This window comes from Homo sapiens, chromosome 13, assembly GCF_000001405.40.
Source record: "Homo sapiens chromosome 13, GRCh38.p14 Primary Assembly".
Lineage (NCBI taxonomy): Eukaryota > Metazoa > Chordata > Mammalia > Primates > Hominidae > Homo > Homo sapiens.
In genome coordinates, this window is record NC_000013.11 from 86,864,343 (window position 1) to 86,884,115 (window position 19,773).

Sequence of the window (19,773 nt, forward strand, 5' to 3'; positions counted from 1 at the left end):
TTTGGTTATTGAGATTAATTGGATTATTGGCCTGTTAATTAAATAACATGTACATTTAATGTACCTAAAAGAGAATGGACAAGGGTTTACAAATGAAATAATGGGACGAAGATTTTAATAAAACCTATGCATCTCTTTCTTGACTAATTGGGTGTTTGTCTAATATTTCATGGTAGGAACTGAGCTGCTGAGCCTGGTGAAACTAGTAGTTCCAGTTATGAATTCGCATGCTTTATGATGCATTTTTCGCTACACACATCACTCACCTGAAAAAAATGCATAAATTGTCATATGCTATTTTAAACCAAGTTCTGCTGGCTACAATAGTGCTGTAAGTTGTACTAATTGATTTATATGGTTTGCCATGAAATACCTTATTTATAAATTATAACATTGAAATAATTTAAATCAAGTTTACTTACTACAATTTAGAACTAAACTTTTATCACTAAGATTTAAGTTCAATTGTTAAGACAAAGAGGGGAAGGGGTAGCATTTTTTAGCTTCAGTGACCTGTAGAATTCTTTCCAAAACATCTTTACCACATAAAAATGTTAATATTATGGGGGCTGAGGTTATATCATTTACAATTATAGCTTTAACCTGAATGTCTTCTGTATTTACTATTAAATATATATGTCACATCTTCCAGAAATAAAACTAATAATATGGTGTTTACCTGTCTTCTTGTTGAGAAGCAAAACAGGCATGGGATTCTGGACAAGTTGATTAAAGTCATTGGGCTGCCTCTTCCAAATCTTTAAAATTAAGATAATAAATGTAATTATCTCATAGGGTTATTATGCATATAAAATGGTCAATATTTGTGAAATGGTAAAAAGTGTATCTAACAAATTTTAACCATTAATAATACTAAAACAAACAAATAGGTCACTTGAAGATACATTTTTGTTTCAGGCATTCACTTTAACAAACCAACAACACTCTTTTTTGCTTTACCAAGATAAAAAACAGCCATATTATCTATTTTATAAAATAATTATAGTGTTAGCCGGGAGCGATGGCTCATGCGTGTAATTCCAGCACTTTGGGAGGCTGAGGCAGGCAGATCACAAGATCAGGAGATTGAGACCATCCTGGCTAACACAGTGAAACCCCATCTCTACTTAAAAGAAAAAAAATTAGCCGGGCATGGTGGCGGGCACCTACAGTCCCAGCTACTCGGGCGGCTGAGGCGGGAGAATGGCGTGAACCTGGGAGGGAGAGCTTGCAGTGAGCGGAGATCATGCCACTCCACACCAGCCTGGGCGACAGAGCAGACTCTGTCTCAATAATAATAATAATAATTATTATTATAGTGTCAATATACATATAACTATTATGATGTACATATTTTATTATACCAAATATGAAAATACATTGCAATGCTAACAAACAGGAATTTAACATCTTACTTTTCTAAATGTAACTTCTATAACATAGTATTAATTTAGGATAAAATCAAGACATAGTAAAACTAAGTAATTGAGAATGTTTTCCTTTAATTAGAAATTTTAAGCTCAATTAATTTCCCTTCATGGGGGAAACCAGAATTGATAAAAAATGAGACTACTTTTTATTAATTTGAGAGGGAAGAGATAACTTTTTGTTTACTATATGCTTAGTTATTTACATTTTCATCCAGAATATATAATAGGAACTAATGTTGAATGCTAGCTATATACGATACATTTTTAATCACTATTCTACAATAAAACATTTTAAAATTATATAATATTATCTCCTAATCTAGGACATTAGTATAAGATATCTACTAACTATGCATGACAGGATATTAGCCTCTTTTTCTTTTCACTTAACTACATTTTTATCACAAAATGTAGGATATTTATGTATGCATATGTGTTTTATAAGGAAGACCTATGTAATCAGATTTCTAGGGATCTATTTGAATGAAGGATCAAAGTGCCTCTGGGAAATATCTTTTCAATGAAACAGCAATTTTTTGTTTCAAGGCACGACATATTTCACTATGAAAAAAACATAGCCAAAACATGGGATTTATAACCAACAATACACTGGAGAAAAACGCACAAAACACAAAGCTAATTTCGTATTAAACTAGTTGGGAGAATAAGGCCTAGAAATGTTGACTGAATGTATCCTTCATTGTCTCCTCTGTAGAAAATCCTTCAAATTCACTTGTATCTTTTTCTTAGCACATTGAACCCTTAAATATTTAATAATGAAATAAATTTTATTTTTATTTCAGTTAAATTTGATGGGATAGACTGCCTTTTAAATGTTATGTTACCATCCTGTAATATATTAATGGACCAATTCACTTAACAAAATGAAGTTTCTTGGGAATATTTTACAGGACCAGGAGACCAAGAGTCACAAATTTTTATGAGAACGATGAACCAGTATGAAAAGATATATAGGAAGGGAGATTGCTTTTCAAATCTTTTGATTTGCTACAACTTTAAACTTACATGGTCATTGCAAGAATAATACAATTAATTTTCTTAGAACATGTACCCAGTTTTATAGTTGTTAACATTTTATCTCATTCTCTCTATTCATAAGTTTACATGTATACATATGTTTGTTTTTCAGAACCTCTTGAGAGCACCTTGGATGTGCTGGACCCCTTTACCCCTAAATACTTCAGTTTGTATGTTTAAAGAAAAAGGGAATTTTCTTACATAACAACAGAAATGTAAAATGCTAGAAAATTTAACATTGAAACACCACCAATGTAACCTGTAGTCCATATTTAAATATCAATTGTTCCAATAATGACCTTTATAGTTTACAGTTGCTGCTTCCAGGATTATGTGCAGAATCACATATGGTATTTAGCTGTCATATCTTTTAAGCATCTATTAATCTGGAACATTTCCACAGATTTAATTTCTGTTTCTTAACCTTGACATTGTTAAAAAGTACAGGCCAGTTATCTTTTGCAATTTCTCTAAATTGACCTTTTCTGATATTTCCTAAAGATTAGATTCATGTTATGCAGTTTGTCAGGCATACCACACCTTTGGTGCTATGTCCTTCTCAGCACATCATAGCTGAAGACATATGTATAATGTGCTTTTCATCCAGTATTGGTAACATTAGCTTTTATCACTTAATTAAGAAGGTGACCACAGTTTTTTCCTGTAACATTAATAAGTGCAATTAATGAATAAGCTTGCTGTAGGTATCTAACTTGAGATTATAAAAAAATTCTGTTGTTTATCAAATTTGAAATATTTGAGGATTTTTTTGGTATACACACACACACACTTATATACAATTTTAACTTCTGCTATAAGAGAGATCTTTCCTTTATTTCCTTTTTATCTGCCCTCCCCCCTTTTTCCCCGTCCTTCTTTTCTTCCTTTTTTCCTTCCTTGTTTCCTTATCTTTCTATTTAATGGGTTATTGTTTTGTTTAATGAGTGGTATTACACAATGTGGCATTATTTATTTTGATGCTCAATTTGTAAGGAAAATTATTGAGTAGAAATTCACATATACTCTCTCAAATTCTATTCTTGCCTATTTTCCGTGGATAATATTTGAGTCTAGGTACAAGACGTTGCAAATAAAAGCTGAAAGGGTTGAATGAAATCTGAAAGAAAAACATATTTTTACAATTTATGTAACAGAATATTTTTTAAAGACTGAAGGTAAGAGATTTGACTTCCAGAAAAAAATACACGATGTAAATACACATAGTTGATCTAGTGTTTTGTATACCAAAGGAAACCAGGCTAATATCTTGGGCAGCAATACAAAAATAAACCATTAGCCAAACCAGTAGCTCCTTTGACATCAAGCTCTGATTGCCCTGGTACAAACATGGAGGAACATTTACTATGCATAACACTCTTGCAATTCAAATGAAATCCCGTAATAGTGACACCTTTAGCAATCATTGCCAGTCATGATCATTCTGGGGCTTTCAGAGTCATGACCATTAAGGCCGTGAACACAATGACCGAAAGCAAGAGAGAAGAAAGTTAGTGACAGCTATATAGGAGTGATATGAGTAGTGCCTTCAAAGTCTCAAATTCTAAACTGATACAGATATAATATAAATAAACAAGAAAGGCCACATTAAAATATAAAAAAACACAGCAATTTGGTTGCTTACTATTATGTGAAATAATATATATTTATTATTTTTAAATATATTTATTTAAAAGTAATTTGCCATGTCTTTCTCATCTTCAATTGAAATGTTCATTTCTAAAGTAACACATATTAAAAACAAACTAACAAAGACACAAACTAAAACACTTTGGGCCATTGTTGTGTAGATTTGTCTAAATATTTCTCCTTCTATAACTCTAATTTTTTTTTTTTTTTTTTTTTGAGACAGAGTTTCACTCTTGTTGCCCAGGCTGGAGTGCAATGGCACGATTTTGGCTGACTGCAACCTCCGCCTACGGGTTCAAGCAATTCTCCTGCCTCAGCCTCCTGAGCAGCTGGGATTACAGGCATACACCACCACGCCTGGCTAATTTTGTATTTTTAGTACAGACGGGGTTTCTCCATGTTGGTCAGGCTTGTCTCGACCTCCCACCTCAGGTGATCCGCCCGCCTTGGCCTCCCAAAGTGCTGGGATTACAGGTGTGGCCCACCGCACCAGGCCTCCTTCTGTAACTCTTGAATGATAGTCAGATGCTCACATATCTTCTCTATATGATACCATACATCTGTCTGAGTAACTGAAATGTGCAGTTCCCTTTTTTAAGGTTTTATGACTTATAGATAAAATTTAAATTATGTAATAAATATTGAATATTGAGTTACCTGTCACTTCTTTTATATACCTCTTTGGAAGCTCTTGAACTTATCATTGTCTCGTTCAAGCTGCTGCTAAAGTGATCAAATCACTATGTGTTCCAACTAATTAATGCAAGTGCAACTGAAAGGACCTCACCTCATATCCATACCATGTGAATCTCAGCTACTGCCTTGAGGTATCTATGAATGCACAACTCAGAAGTGCCTGACATGTAACATCTTGGGAGTAAAACACCTACAAATCAGACACTAGAGCTGAAGAATCAAGTCTTTCCCATCAGTTTCCTGGGAGTTTCAGGGATTCTTAGAGGACATTCCTACCACATCTTCCATCAGTTGCCACGGAGCCAGCCCTCTCCATAACCTATTTGCACATTGGCTTTCTATTCCTTGCTCACTCCTCATGTTCCCTTTTGTTTTCTTGGATTACTTTCCTTGACAAAGTGCTAGCTAAAATGACATTGTTTCAGGCCGCACATTATGTGAAACTATTTGAAGAAAATATGACTGTCTTTTTGCATTTTACAGATGTCAATTTAGTCAGCAACATAATTTTAATTTGAATTAAAGACTAAAAAATGAGGCATAAACTATACTGAAGAATTTGTTTTAATTCCCTGAAATTTTTATTTTTTTTTGCCTTTTTCTAAGACAGTCTCTTGCTATAATAAAGAAAAAATGCATGACTAAGAAGCAGTCTCTTAAAGTGTCTTTTGCCTTTAATCAGTATTGTACCAATTATGTTTCTGAGTATATAATTGTCTTTGCTCTCCTGAAAAGGAAAAATAATCAGTTTTCATGAGACAAAAATTGTGTCCCCAAATGTGAAAAAAACAATTTCTTTAAATTTCTCAAATTATAATCATGTAGGTTTCCTTGCAAACCGTAATTACACAGTCTCCCTATAATTTCTTTCAGTACAGATTTAGCTCAAGTCTTCTGTATGATCATTGTATAGCAGTGATACAATAGCATCTCCTCACATAGCTCTGCTGTGGCTAAGATTTCCTGGCTCATATTTGCACAAAAGGCATGGGAAGCCAAGAAGCTGGAAAAACCAAAGATACATAAGAATTCATTTAAAAAAAAGTAACAGTTTTGAAAGCCACATTTGAATTCATTACTTGCAGTTCCTATAAAAATACCTTGCTACTGTGCATACTTTTCTTAGTTCTTGGTGAAAAAATCTTTTATTTATACATCAACTCCTCAAAGCAGCTATGAAAAAAAAGAAAATTATTAACATAACACTTGCTAACATTCCATATTTTCCTTCACTGAGTATATTAATATAATGTTTTAAAGAGGCATATATTCTAAGAAAAACACTAACTTTGCTGAAAAACATTAGTTACTATACTAGAGCAATTTGAAACAATTGTATGTTTCCTGTAAAATTCATATTAAAATATTTTTGCCATTTCTTTTCAGTTCTATGTAACACCAGCAGGTGGCAGGATTAAGGCACAAAAACGGCAAAATCTTTGAGAAATGTAAAAGAAATACATTATGCTTTTTTCAATGTCTTAGGATGGCAGTCATTTTTCTTTTTGTGCATACAGGTTACTAAAATCATTCATGGCTACTAGTCCTTAGCAGACACATCGTTTTCCTTAAACCAGCTGAAGCTGTGCCCTTTTAAGACTCTTCTGATCACAAATCACCATTGTGCTGCAGTAATTTTCAGCTTTTACCATAAAGTGAGTCCAAAGCATATGGTGTGCATAAATTTGGATTATCTTCATACAGACAAAGATTCTTTGCTTGACCAAACTTTAGTCAGCCTCCGGAAACTTTTCCTAAGCCTGCCTGTGCACTTCCTTGCAAAATCCAGCTTTAGCAAAGAACCCTGCTAAATCAGGTTAGCTAGAATCAATCTCCCTCTCCCTGATGTCTAATCGCCCAAAATATTTAATCGGGTTCTTCATTCGCTGTCCTCCAGGAGATGTTTGATCGCCCTGGCCTGCCTTCAGCAGGAATCCTGCTAGGTCAGTGTAGCCAGAATACCTCTAATTCCTGATGTGTCCTATTAGTAATTTTTCATCCACTGACTTCCACCCTGCTCTGTGGCTATAAAGTCCCACCTGCCCACGCTATATTCAGAGTGGAGTCCAATCTCTCTCCCCTACTGCAAAATCCCATTGCTGTGGTTCATATGTACCAATTGTGATGGTTTTGAATAAAGTCTGCCTTACAATACCTTAACAAGTATTGTTGAATAATTATTCTCTCTTTAACAATACTAGATTACAACAAGTATTGGGAAAATTGTTTGGGAAAATTGTTTATATGATGAGGACAAGACTAAAATTAAACTACTTTGCTTTTTAATACTCTAAGAGTTTATAGTGAATCTCTGATAGGACACTTTGCCACAGTTTTGGGGCAAGCCAGATAATGAGGTTATGGATTACAGGCCTTTTAAAAACTGGCTAAAAGGGGCCAGACACAGTGGCTCACGCCTGTAATTCCAGCACTTTGGGAGGCCGAGGCAGGTGGATCACCTGAGGTCAGGAGTTTGAGACCAGACTGGCCAACATGGTGAAACCCCATCTGTAATAAAAATTTAAAAAATTAGCCCGGTGTGGTGGCGGGCACCTGTAATCCCAGCTACTCAGGAGGCTGAGGCAGGAGAATTGCTTGAACCTGGAAGGCAGAGGTTGCAGTGAGCCAAGATCATGCCACTGTACTCCAGCCTGGGCAACAGATCGAGACTCGGTCTCAGGCAGAGGCACTTCTTTTTCCCAGAAATTCTCTCAGATATTCCTACTTCTATTTTCCTTGTCAACAAACGCACACATGCCTTGGTGGTAGAAATGGTTCTTTACAGTTTACTTATAGTCAGTGAACTGAGTAATGTCTACATTTTTTTAAATAATTATATTCCCTGAGTTCCCTAATCGGTCACTTTTCTTAAAGGAATAACTCTTCCTATATTCTTTCCTTAATATCCTTCCGCTTTGTATATAATCTAGTTAGAATACCACATGCTAAACTAATAAAAAATTGCTTCTACAAAATTGTGTTTAATAACTACTTGTTAATTAGAGGAACTGAAACAACTACATTTTAGTATTACCAAGTTCAGGAAACTTTGCAAATACTTGTTTAAGAATTAAGATGAGATGATAACTTTAAAATGTCTGGACACATTATCTTTAACATACTCCTTCTATAATAAGAGAATTTGCAAATTCTTGTTTTACTGAAGTAAAAATATCTTCTCAAATAAAGTACTATGGAAAAATTTAAACATATATTTTCTATGTTATGAAATAAAAGGAAATCATTTTATGCTAATTATAGAGGTTTGCACAATATTATCAATTGAGATATTAGATAAATATATGCAATAAGAAAAACAGTCTGAAGATTTACCCATTGAGTATCCTGAGACTGGAGTGATAATGCATAAGATGTAAGAGGCCACTATACAAGAAAACAGCAATATATTATGATAAGAATGTTACAATAATACTATGCATGGAGTGCTTATCATGTGTTACAATATAGAAGGTAAGTGATATTTTCCTTAGTTTAAATTGATGCTCTCTATAATAATGCAACAAATTTAAAATCAACCCAGCCACAAAAGGAGGAAATGACATTGAAACTGAAGAGGATAGGATTAAAAGCTGTTGCCTTGTCTTGTGCCCATGTTACTGTTCATGATAATGTGTGGTTCTGCATTCATGCATTTATTTTGTATTCCATTTTTCATCCCCACAATTTCAGCTCAAAACATAGAATTTGACACTATTTTAATATCAGTATGATTTCTTTCCCTATGATGTTTTTCAAAATAACAATGGAATTGGTGTTATTCAAATATACTATTACTTATATTGTATTATAGTAAAATGTCATGCAATTATTGATGAATCAGTGACATGATTTGTATGTAAGAGTTGTAGTTCTAGTTTTATGAGAACTATTAGTTTTAGTTTTATGCACAATACCTGATTTAATTCTTGCAATAACACTATAAGGTAAGCACTGTTTTTATCCTCAATTTTTAGCGCCAACAATTGTGAAGAACAGAGAATTTCAAGAACTTGACCAAGATCACACAGCCACTGTGGAACAAAAATTTAAACCTAGGCAATCTGAGTCCAAACCCCATTTTTTTTTTTTTTTTTTTTTTGGTCTGACAAAGAAAAACTCAGTAGTGCAGATACTGTGTTTGTAGGAGTTATTGGCAAGGCATCTTTCTTTTGAGACCTGATACTTGGAAACAGTTTCTAAGCGTTAGGCAATCATCACAACAGAATACATAGGTGGTGAGGGCAAGAGTAACCTAGAAGTCAGCAGGAAGGACAGTAATGGAGGTGATGCTTACCTAGTGGGAAGAGAGGTGCAACAAAAGCATAAGGAAGATGGCTGCCAAGACAGTGAACTTCATTTTCACACTCTTCTGACCTTGGGAAATGGCCAGGCCATTTGATTAGGAAGAAAGAAAACAATCATTGCCATCCTTAATCATATGGTGATCTGACAAGGGAAGCTGTGAAATGTGATTTCTGAATCAGCATGTAATTGGTTTTGTAGACAATATGAAAAGACTTACAGTGGTATAAACTCTATTAGAATGGCCAAACTATATATAGCCCATGTCACATTCTGCTCAAAAGGCACATTACATATTATTTTTCTACCTTAAAGTCTTTTAAGTATGATTATTGTTTTTCTGCATCAGAAGTTGTGGTATCTAACAAAAAAATTAACACACCTTATTATTTACTTATTAAATTTTGTTAAGCTTTCTTTAATCTAATGTGAGACTCAAATAATATATCCCTCTATGAATGAAGATCAAAGAAAGTCTTGCTGGAATTTAAAAGTATCCATATGCCACAAGGATATAAGAATAATACCTCGTGTTGGTATTTGCAAAAATAAAATGATTTTTTAAATTTATGTTTGAGCTTGTTTGCAAAAGTTTCATGAATTTCAAATCTATTTAAGTTTCTATGGGGACTTGCTTGTAGTAGTTTCAAACTTAATAGAATTCAGATTAAATATTTTGAGTTCACTTATCTAAATTTTTTGCATTAGTAAATTAGTAAATTATATAAATATATCAAAGTAACAAAGGTTTCCAAAGTAACCATATGTCACGGTAAATGCACTTCTTATTATGATCTTTTCTCATGATAAACCAGTATGAGTGTGCTAAAAATTTTAAAGTGAAATGCAAATTGAGGTTAAAATACTTGAATCTATTGAGCTTTTTGTTCTGAGACTCTTGAGTCTATTACATTTTTTGCTCTGAGACTGTGTGATGCCCCAATCAAGTATTTCTATCAGATTAAAAAAATATTTTATATATAGCAGCAAACTTTCCAGAAGAAAATGAACTATCAAATAGATGGACTTATGTATGTAATCTGTATTTTAATTATCTTTTTATTTGGGCTCTTGCAGAATAACAGAAAATCTGAAAGTAGCATAGGTCATAACCACATAAATAGAGCATATAGATATTATTATAATCTTTATGAATACACCTTTAACAGAAAAATATTGACATATTCTGATGCTATAGATGGCACTTAAGAAGTATAGAAAAATATGACTCTTATAATAAAATAAAATGATCAAAAATATTTTGTTTCCTGATGTGACTAAACCTGTATATAAATAGAGCATTTAGGACACCAATAGAACTATATTGAATTTCTGCTATAGGAAACTGAATTGTCAAAGAAGTTTTTTTTTTTAATCTCACATAAAAACAATGCCCCAATATTGAACAAGCCAAGATTGACACTGTTCTTTACCTTAATGATATCATCAATGTATTTGCACTGTTTATCTTTTTAGTCTACCTACCTTCACATGGATTTTACAGTCTCATGTCCACAAAATGGGCTGAAAACTCCAGCATTGCAACCACACTCTAAGCAAGAAGAGTAGAACAGACAAATGAAAGTAAAGGAGGTTACAAAAAAAAAAAAAAAGCAAAATGAGTACACGAGCTAATTATTTAACCTTGTCAGGAGAACAATCAGGTTGTCTGAAAATCCCACCAGTAGACTTCCACTTACATCTCATTTGTTGCAAGTATGTTAGATTTCTATCCATTACTTCATGGGAGGCTGGGAAAGTAACCATTACTCTGGACACTGGACCGTTTGCTTCCCCAAAGAAACTTGGGAATATAATAATAAGGTATAAGAGACTGATCAGTTTTACAAAGGCAGCTAGCTGGGTTTGACACAAAATATCTCACAGATGTAAGAAAAAAATATAAACAGAATGAGATAACAACAAATGAAGTCCTAAATGCTTATATGTGATTAAGATTTGTATATCTTCTTAGTCAATTTATCTCTTTATGTTGATCTCATACTGTTTTAACAGATCTTTTCTTCTTAATTTTCAAAGAGGTTAATACTGACTCAGGTGAAGACTTTTGTTCCAGAGGCAACATAGGAAACCACCTACTCCATTTAAAATGTTTTTCATAAAGTATATTAGTTATTCAATTTTATATTTTTGAATACAAGACAGAAAGCTGCTTGAATTACGAGTAAATTTCTGAGATTTCTTTTTGCGTTTGCTCACAGTGAGAATGCAATTTTGAAACATGTTGCAATTTTAGTTACTTAGCTTAATGGAAAATTGGTTTCTCATAGTCAAATTAGTTAAATTAAATTCTGGATTATATTGCATAAACTCAATAGAACCATTGACATATTTCAGTCTGTCTCTAAAATTTCATGATTAATTATTATCTCATAAATAAACTAACACTTCAATCACGTACTCAACCACTATATACTTCTCTTGGGGACATTGTGGCACTCTACAAGAAAACTCAGTAAGGTATTTCTCCATGACTTTGAAGGAAGATTTTTTAAAATTAAAATTTGACACCAATATAGAATATTATTAAAGCTCATATTCATTCACCTGAAAAATAGGAATAATACTATTCTACCTACTGAATTGTGGTGGGACATATAATAAGAAAAATATTTTGAAAATGTTAAGTTTTAAAGAAAAACAATAAAGACAAGGGTAAGAACAGACAGAAATGTAAACATGGGAGAGTAGTAGACAAAGAAAAGAAGAAAATTGTTTCAGGAGATGCAATTTTTTCTCAATTTTAAAAAGTTTTATTTGACAGATAATTGTATACATTTATGGAGTACAGTGTGATGTTGTCATATTTGTATACAATGTGAAATGACGAAATCAAGCTTACTAACATATCCATCGCCTCACATACATAACATAATTTGTAGTGAGATATTTAACATTTACTCTCTTAGCACTTTTGAAACTTATAATACATTATCATTAACTATGGTCACCATGCTATGCAAGAGATCTCAAAAAATTATTCCTCCTGTATAACTGAAACTTTACACTCATCTCCCCATTTCTTCTCTCACCTTCCCTCACCCCTGGTAACCAGCATTTTACTCTCTACTTCTATAAATTTGACTTTTAAGTAAGTCACATTTTGCAGTATTTGTCTTTCTGTACTAGAAGCATAATGACTTCTAGTTTCATCCACGTTGGTGCAAATAGGAAGATATGCTTCAATGGTATTACTAATATTTAATCTTCAGATTTATAACTCATGAGATCTTAAAGGCTATCTTTTGTTTTCCTTTTGAATGGGAGCTCTCCATCTTGCAAACAACAAATTCAAGGTCTTGCCGTATTGTCCAGGCTGGAGTGCAGTGGCATGATCACAGGGCACTGTCACTTTGAACTCGCGGGCTCACGCAATCCTCCCACTTCAGCATTCTTAGTATCTAGGACTACATGTATGAACCGCCATGCCAGGCTACTTTTTTATTATTCATTGTAGCGACAGGGTCTTGCTACTTTACCCAGGCTGATCTTGAACTCTTAGGCTCAAGTGATCCTCCTGCTTTGGCCTCCAGAAGTGCTGGGATTACAGGCATGAGTAACAGCATCTACAGCACCTGGCTTACTTTTTTTTTTTTTTTTTTTTTTTTTTGAGACAGGGTCTCATTCCCTCTCTCAGGCTGGAGTGCAGTGGCATACTCATGACTTACTGCCGCCTCAACTTCTCGGGGCTCAGGTGACTCTCCCAACTCAGCCTCCCCAGTAGCTGGGACCACAGGCCTGTGCCACCACACCTGCTAATTTGCTTTTTTTTTTTTTTTGGTAGAGACAAGGTTTTACCATGTTGCCCAGACTGATCTCAAACTCCTGGGCTCAAGCAATTCGCCTGTCTCAGCCTCCCAACATGAGATTACAGGTGTGTGCCACCATGCACAGCACTTGCCTACATTTTTAATGTGTACCTTTAAGCTTTTAAACACTGACACTTTCACAAAAAGCAGGGAAGCATTCATATTTTAATGAGATTTTAAAATATTTATGTGAATTTAATACCTTATGAGTTATGCCACATTTTTGCATGTTTTGTATAACTTGCTTTTATGAAGTTCTCATTTATTTATTCCACATCACAGTTGCTACAGCAACCGATTACTGTAACATTTATTTTTATGGCTTTTTTGATAAGACTATCTTCAAATTACAGCATGTCTAGAACTTGTTGGATCATAATTTAACTTTCACTGTGAAGAGACAACATATTAGTCCTATCTTGGCAGATTTATATTGGCTTCCTGTTTCAACTAGAATTATCTCCAAGCTATTAATTCTGGAGGATTTTGTTTTTCTTTTGGTGATTAAATGGACTAGAATCACCATATCTTTCAGGGTGTCCAGAGAAAAATACCATTTCTGCAACCTTGTTCTTCTGATCAATGCTTTTGTGAATTATGTCACTTTCAGCTAGAAAATGTATGCCTCAAAGGCTTTCGTTATTGTTCTTGTTGTTACTTTTTCTGTTGACTTCAAGGGTGTCGTCTTCATTACCAAAAGTAAGAATTATTGGTCATTTAGAATATTTTAAAAGTTTTTCCACTACTTTGAGATATACTTGCTTTACATATAGATAGATAGATAGATAGATAGTTGAATGATTATTTTGGTTTAGATGGGTTTAGTTACATACATATAACTCTCCCTCTCTCTCTTTCTATATATATATGTATATACACACGTACGCATAACTCTCTCTGTCGCTCTCTGTATATATGTGTATATATATATATATAAAATATCTCTGTCTAGATATCTACTTAATATCTCTATATATGGAGAGAAAGCTGTATCTATGTAATATATATATATATATATATATATATATATATATGCTAACATAGACTTAGATTTTATGAAAATGCTAATCACTTTTTTTTTTTTTTTTTGAGACGGATTCTCTCTCTGTTGCCCAGGCTGGAGTGCAGTGGCACGATCTCGGCTCACTGCAAGCTCCACCTCCCGAGTTCATGTCATTCTCCTGCCTCAGCCTCCCGAGTAGGTGGGACTACAGGCGCCCGCCACCATGCCTGGCTAATTTTTTATATTTTTAATGGAGACGGGTTTCACCGTGTCAGCCAGGATGGTCTCGATCTCCTGATCTCGTGATCCACCCATCTTGGCCTCCCAAAATGCTGAGATTACAGGCGTGAGCCACCGCGCCTGGCCCACATTTTTCTACTTTGGCTATTTCACAGTATTTATTAGCCTCACTTACCTTCCTTTGAACCTATTTGAATATATATTTTAAAAACATGATAGAAAAGTATGACTCTATGATAGATTAATGATTTACTCCAAACTACAAACAATTCTGGATAACCCTTGCGTGATGTGAAACTCAGAACAGTCTTTTACTTTCATTCCACTCCTTTTTTTAGGATTTACCTTCTTACATTGAATAATGAGAAAGAACAAGAAAGTAGTTGTCAAAGGAAGATAGCAAGCTAAAAAAAAAAAAAAAAGGGGGGGGTGGGAACATGACTTACAAAGAAGATTATCAGGAGAGTCCAGACTTCAGTACTGGCTGGATAAAAAAAAAAAAAAAATACTGAGTTTACTGCCAATTTGTAATTTATTTGTCAATTCACAGTGGAAATTTATTTGTCAGTTCACAGTGGAAAAATTCGTAATTTTCTTCTATTATTATGATATTTGTAAAGGTTGTAACACATCCACAAACATCAGCGCTGCAAATGCGTTTAATATTTTGTTAGCAAATTTGTTTAAGGTTCTACTAGTTTGAATACCAGTCCTATACAGTTTGGCAACATATTTGTTATTAACTATTTTTCAGTTATTTTTAATTGACATAAAATTGTATGTACTTATTATGTACAACATGATGTTTTGAAGTATATATGCATTGTGGAATGACGGACTCTGGATAATTAACATGCGCATTATCTCACAGAGTTATTATTTTTGTTGTGAGAAGACTGGATGTTATTGTTAATTAATATGAATTAGTAAAGTGTTGCTTTTTTCCTTCCTAGCTAGGAGATGTATTATATATGCTTATTCAAAATGGAGAGAGAGCTAGGTGTTGGTTTTGTGTCATCATTTGTCATTCTGTCACCTTCTCCGTATTTTTTTTTTTACTGCTGTCCCCACTTTGACCTGGATAGCAGCTCACTTACTCTGTGGCTATTCATCTTCTCAATTTATTGGACAAAGTGCCTTTGAGAAAATGCTGATCCTTCTCAATGGATGTTAAGGGGGAAATTAATGTTGGGTAGGGTATATATTCCTTTGCTATTCCCTCTCATTATTTCCCATCATCCACAAAGAAAGACTACATGTTTCAGATTTACTGAAGTTTGAGGAAAATATAAAAATACATTATAAATAGTAAAAATTCTATTATATGTTAGATACCACTTCTTTTATAAAAATAAATAGATTACATCTTCAAAGTCAAACTATCAGTCTCATAAATGCCTCCTTTACAAACTTAGCATTTTTTCTTCAAGTTTGACTGAGGAGTGTACAAAATCACCTCCTTCTTCTAATCTCATCTGGCCCCACCAACAGAGACCACTTTTCTCTCAACTTGCCTACTCGTTTTGATTTTCCACCCCATAGTACATTTCCCTTAGGTATTTGTTGTAGAATTTTCCACAGGGGCTTACAGAAGGATTCTCAAAGGTTGATAAAACAGTTATAGATTGGTGCATACTAGTTATGCCCACCAGTTAAACATTTAGATTAGTATTCAGGTCAGTTTATTCTTCTAATAGTCCTGAGGGTAATTAGTATAAAATATACCCATACGAAAATAAAGCCAAATACACACACCAACCCCAGTCCCAACATACATACACACATGAAACACACACACACAAACACACACACACACACACCAGTCTCGAAGAAATATTTTTTAATATAGTAGAGTTCTCAAGTAGGATTTAACATTCAATTGCAGGGACCCCTAACATAATGGAATTACGTCCTGTCATGGATAAATAGTCTTTGTCAAAAGTCCCTCCAATATAAAGAAGGAATGTAACCTACCAATGTTTTACCAATCAGACCCACAGGCATTTTAGATAATGTGGGAGCTATTTAAGAAAAAGGACTCTTCATAAGTCATTTATGTAATGAAAAGAGATGTTTTAGAGAAGCCTGGCAACCAAAAGCATCAATAGAAATTTTACATGATCAAGTGTACTGGTAGATGTAGAGGTTTTATTACAATCACATTATTGTATTGCAGGTAGTAATGACAGTGTTGTCTTTCAAATCAATTTGTGGAGTGATTCTGATTGTCTTTATCAAAATTTTCTATGAGCCCTTTTCTCTAGCTCTATTAATGATTCTATAAGCTTTCTAATATATATTAATCAATACATTTTTCCATGTAGCAAATCAGAATAGCCTGCTTTGACTGCAAGTTAGAATCTTAATTGACACTATAAACAGTAAATACAATTACTTTATGAAACAGATCATCATAAAAATGAGAATAGGTATTGGTAAACTAAGCTGGTTGAGCTTAAAAATAATTTATATGAATATATGTAACCATGGTGTTCCATGAAATCTTCTACAATGACCACCTGCACTTATTGAAAGTGAAGTCCATCTTGAAGCTAAAACCTTAGTTACTAAATAGCTGTTGTCATGGAACATTGTGAACCACAAGATAAATATAAGAACCGTGGGTTGAGTGGTGCTTGTGATTGCACTGAGAGCTTGAAAAAAGTACATTAGATGCCAAAAGTTTTAAATTCTCAGTTCAAGGAAAATCAACATTTAAATAAGTGTCCCAAATGAATCACTTTTGTCTAATTATCATGGAGTTAAGGTAGTGAAAAAAATTATAATCTGACCATGTACATTATTAAATTATTATACTAATCAAATTTACCAATTTACCAGTTCTTTTATATGAAAAATAGAACAATGATCATAAACCAATAAGGAATGGGAATTAAAATAGGGACTCTGGAGGGGATATGGGATACTCAGAGCATCCCAGTTTCCAAACCAAATTGAGCTGTCCTTAATAGCCAAAGGAGCCTTTTCATTCCTGTTGAGGCAGAGGCCTCTATCTTCTTTGGGGACTTGGAAGAATATTGCCCAAGGCAATGACTTTTCAAGGGGAAGCTAATAGCCCTCATTTTGTAACAATGAAACAAGGAAAGGACTAGCCTAACTCCATTTCTATTCAAAGGGCCTTTGCTCGTCCCTGCTAGTAGGTTAGGATAATTTTAGACTACTGAGATAACAGGCAGTAATGGCAATCATGTAGTTTTTAAAAAATAACTCTGGAATTAAAGGAGACGTATGAAAACAACTAACTATCTTTTATTAAAGATTTAGAGGTGAATTGTGACCTGACTAAGGGCAAAGAAGTTCCCAGTTTCCTCAGACCCTCCCTGTCACCCAGATATCTGTAGTCATCAGTTGCCTCTTGATGTCAACCCCTGCCTCTTCTCTCTGTCCTTAATGTAGAAAGAGCCTAAAATTTGTACTGACTTAAGATCGTACTTCTGAATTTTAGTTCATGATCTTTTTGATTTTGCTGGTTTTTCTGGGTAAACCTGCTTTTCCTCCCACTGATACAGGAGTTATTAAGAAATAATTCTTTAGGCAGATAGTAAGAGTAAATGTTCTCGGTGGAAATTTTCCTGTAATAAGAAACAAACCTTAAACCATCTCTTTTCTAACAGAAAAGGCTGCTTGAAGGGCCAGGCTGGCAAGCTTTGATATGCAAATGCCAGCCATTAGAAACTGGGTTCACTCAATGTGGCAATTCCTGCTGTCCTTTCCTTCTTACTAGGTGTACCAGGTGTCATGGCCACCTCCAGATAACACCATGTGTTTGAAACATCATGGTGACCTGCGTTTGCATATGAAAGGACTAAGGTGGGAGGGCCACATTTTTCACGGGCTACGTAAATGACACACTTGGTCAAACCAATCCCCTGAGCCCTATGCAAAGCAGACACAGCCTCCTCCAGCATCCCAGTATAAGCAGCCACTTTTCCGCCTCTGCACATGGGGTTTTCTCTTTGTTCGAGTCCCCCCTCCCTCTGTCTCTGTATGGGGGACCTGTTTTCTTCCTTCCTTCTTTCTTGCCTATTAAACTTTTTGCTCCTAAAAACCACTCCACGTGTGTCTGTGTCATTTTATCCAAACCGGCGTGAGACCAAGGACCCTGGTGTTCCTCCAATCATCGGAGCCATATCAATACCAACCCTTGTCTTTCAAGTGTGGTTTTTGAGCAGCAAATGGCTGAATCTGGTTTTGATTACAATTTCTCAGCTCTCTCAACTTTTTTTTAGTTCTAAACATCCAGAGAAGCCTAGTTGTGAAGTAAAGTTTAACATCTAAGTCCAATACTAAGTGATGCTTTAACATCTGTTGAAATCAGAAGGGTCTCAAATGGCGTAGCCACAACTTCCTCTCCTCCGCTCATGTGGGTAAAGTCTCCTAACCAAACAACTCTCCTTATCAACAGGACCAGGTGAAGTTCCTGCTTATCCCTGAGCACAGAAGATTTCAGTTTTCTGTCAGACCATAGATCAAATGAGGCAATCACATTTTTCCCAGGGAATGAAAAAGGACAAGCACCCTCTTGAAACTACAAAGCCTGCTTTCCACAGCTGCTGCTTATCCACTCTGTTTCAAGGACACCCCCATGTAACCCTGCATGACATGCTGTGCCCTTCTCCCTGGGACTGTGAGTCTACGTGACTAAAACACTGCTGTCCATCTCATCTGTCCAATTGCAGGTCTCATGTGTTGAGTCATTCTCATACCCTGGAGTGGGAATCCCTTCCTCATGAACAAGAAGAGAAAAGGATTGAAACACTATTGAATAAGACTAAGCCAATAGGAGAAATACAACAAAAGAATTTGGTTATTTAAATAAAATACATGGAAATTTGTTTAACTTTTTTTTTTTTTTTTTTTTTTTTTTTTTTACAAAAAACAAGAAGGACTTGTTTTGCGATATATTTTTAGGGAATTACATTTTAAGTTTATGTTTAGGGCACTAAACATAAGTTTAGATTGTAATGAATTCATTAACATGCCTGCACTATCCAGAGATTCTGATTTTTGAAACCTGTACTTGATGGGGGCCAATGGAAAATGAAGGTGAAATGCTAGATATGTGTTTGGTTTTATTTTGCAATACATAAGAATTTATCCTAAGTACTGCGAAAGTGGAAATTATAAAGTTATTCACACATTCCCTCATTATGGCCCTGAAGGAGAACCACAAAAGCCTTGTTTCACCAAAACACAAAGAAGGACATTGGTGAGGAAAAGGTCAGTTTATTTGAAAAGTACTCTGTTGGCTATTCATCTGCAGGCCAGAGATGATTCTGCGATGGAAGTGGGTTCCCAGTTTCAATAGGGAAGATAAGATATGTGGGTAGTACAATCCAAGTAGCTGTAATTGACCTTCAAAGGTAAGGTAGGAATAGTAGCAGTAATTGACTGTCAAGGTGGGAATTAGAATAGTTTAAGCTGCAGAGATTTTTGATTGCCGATAATTATTTATGGCATCCTCATGACTAAAATATAAAGAAAGTTTATGAAAGTCTCACGAGATCTGTGAAATCAAACTAATTTGATTCTGTTAAACAGAGATTTTGCTTAGGTCAATGCAGTA

General features: G+C 34.5%; 1 long non-coding RNA gene across 1 annotated transcript in view, besides 4 other annotated features; it reads left to right on the forward strand.

Moving 5' to 3' along the window:
- The window catches only part of LOC105370300 (uncharacterized), a 90,882-nt gene extending 72,021 nt beyond the window's left edge, over positions 1 to 18,861 (forward strand). The window contains exon 3 of the long non-coding RNA XR_931621.3: positions 18,613 to 18,861. This is a non-coding gene — a long non-coding RNA (uncharacterized LOC105370300). The remainder of the gene's footprint in view (positions 1 to 18,612) is intronic.
- Positions 16,806 to 17,409: an enhancer, noted in NCBI's record as "OCT4-NANOG-H3K27ac hESC enhancer chr13:87533403-87534006 (GRCh37/hg19 assembly coordinates)". NCBI's record gives its function as "activates a minimal SCP1, AML or CMV promoter by ChIP-STARR-seq in naive and primed H9 embryonic stem cells {active_cell/tissue: H9 hESC(naive and primed)}" and the evidence as "EXISTENCE:reporter gene assay evidence [ECO:0000049][PMID:30033119]".
- Positions 17,410 to 18,011: an enhancer, noted in NCBI's record as "OCT4-NANOG-H3K27ac hESC enhancer chr13:87534007-87534608 (GRCh37/hg19 assembly coordinates)". NCBI's record gives its function as "activates a minimal SCP1, AML or CMV promoter by ChIP-STARR-seq in naive and primed H9 embryonic stem cells {active_cell/tissue: H9 hESC(naive and primed)}" and the evidence as "EXISTENCE:reporter gene assay evidence [ECO:0000049][PMID:30033119]".
- Positions 18,012 to 18,613: an enhancer, noted in NCBI's record as "OCT4-NANOG-H3K27ac hESC enhancer chr13:87534609-87535210 (GRCh37/hg19 assembly coordinates)". NCBI's record gives its function as "activates a minimal SCP1, AML or CMV promoter by ChIP-STARR-seq in naive H9 embryonic stem cells {active_cell/tissue: H9 hESC(naive)}" and the evidence as "EXISTENCE:reporter gene assay evidence [ECO:0000049][PMID:30033119]".
- Positions 18,614 to 19,215: an enhancer, noted in NCBI's record as "H3K27ac hESC enhancer chr13:87535211-87535812 (GRCh37/hg19 assembly coordinates)". NCBI's record gives its function as "activates a minimal SCP1, AML or CMV promoter by ChIP-STARR-seq in naive H9 embryonic stem cells {active_cell/tissue: H9 hESC(naive)}" and the evidence as "EXISTENCE:reporter gene assay evidence [ECO:0000049][PMID:30033119]".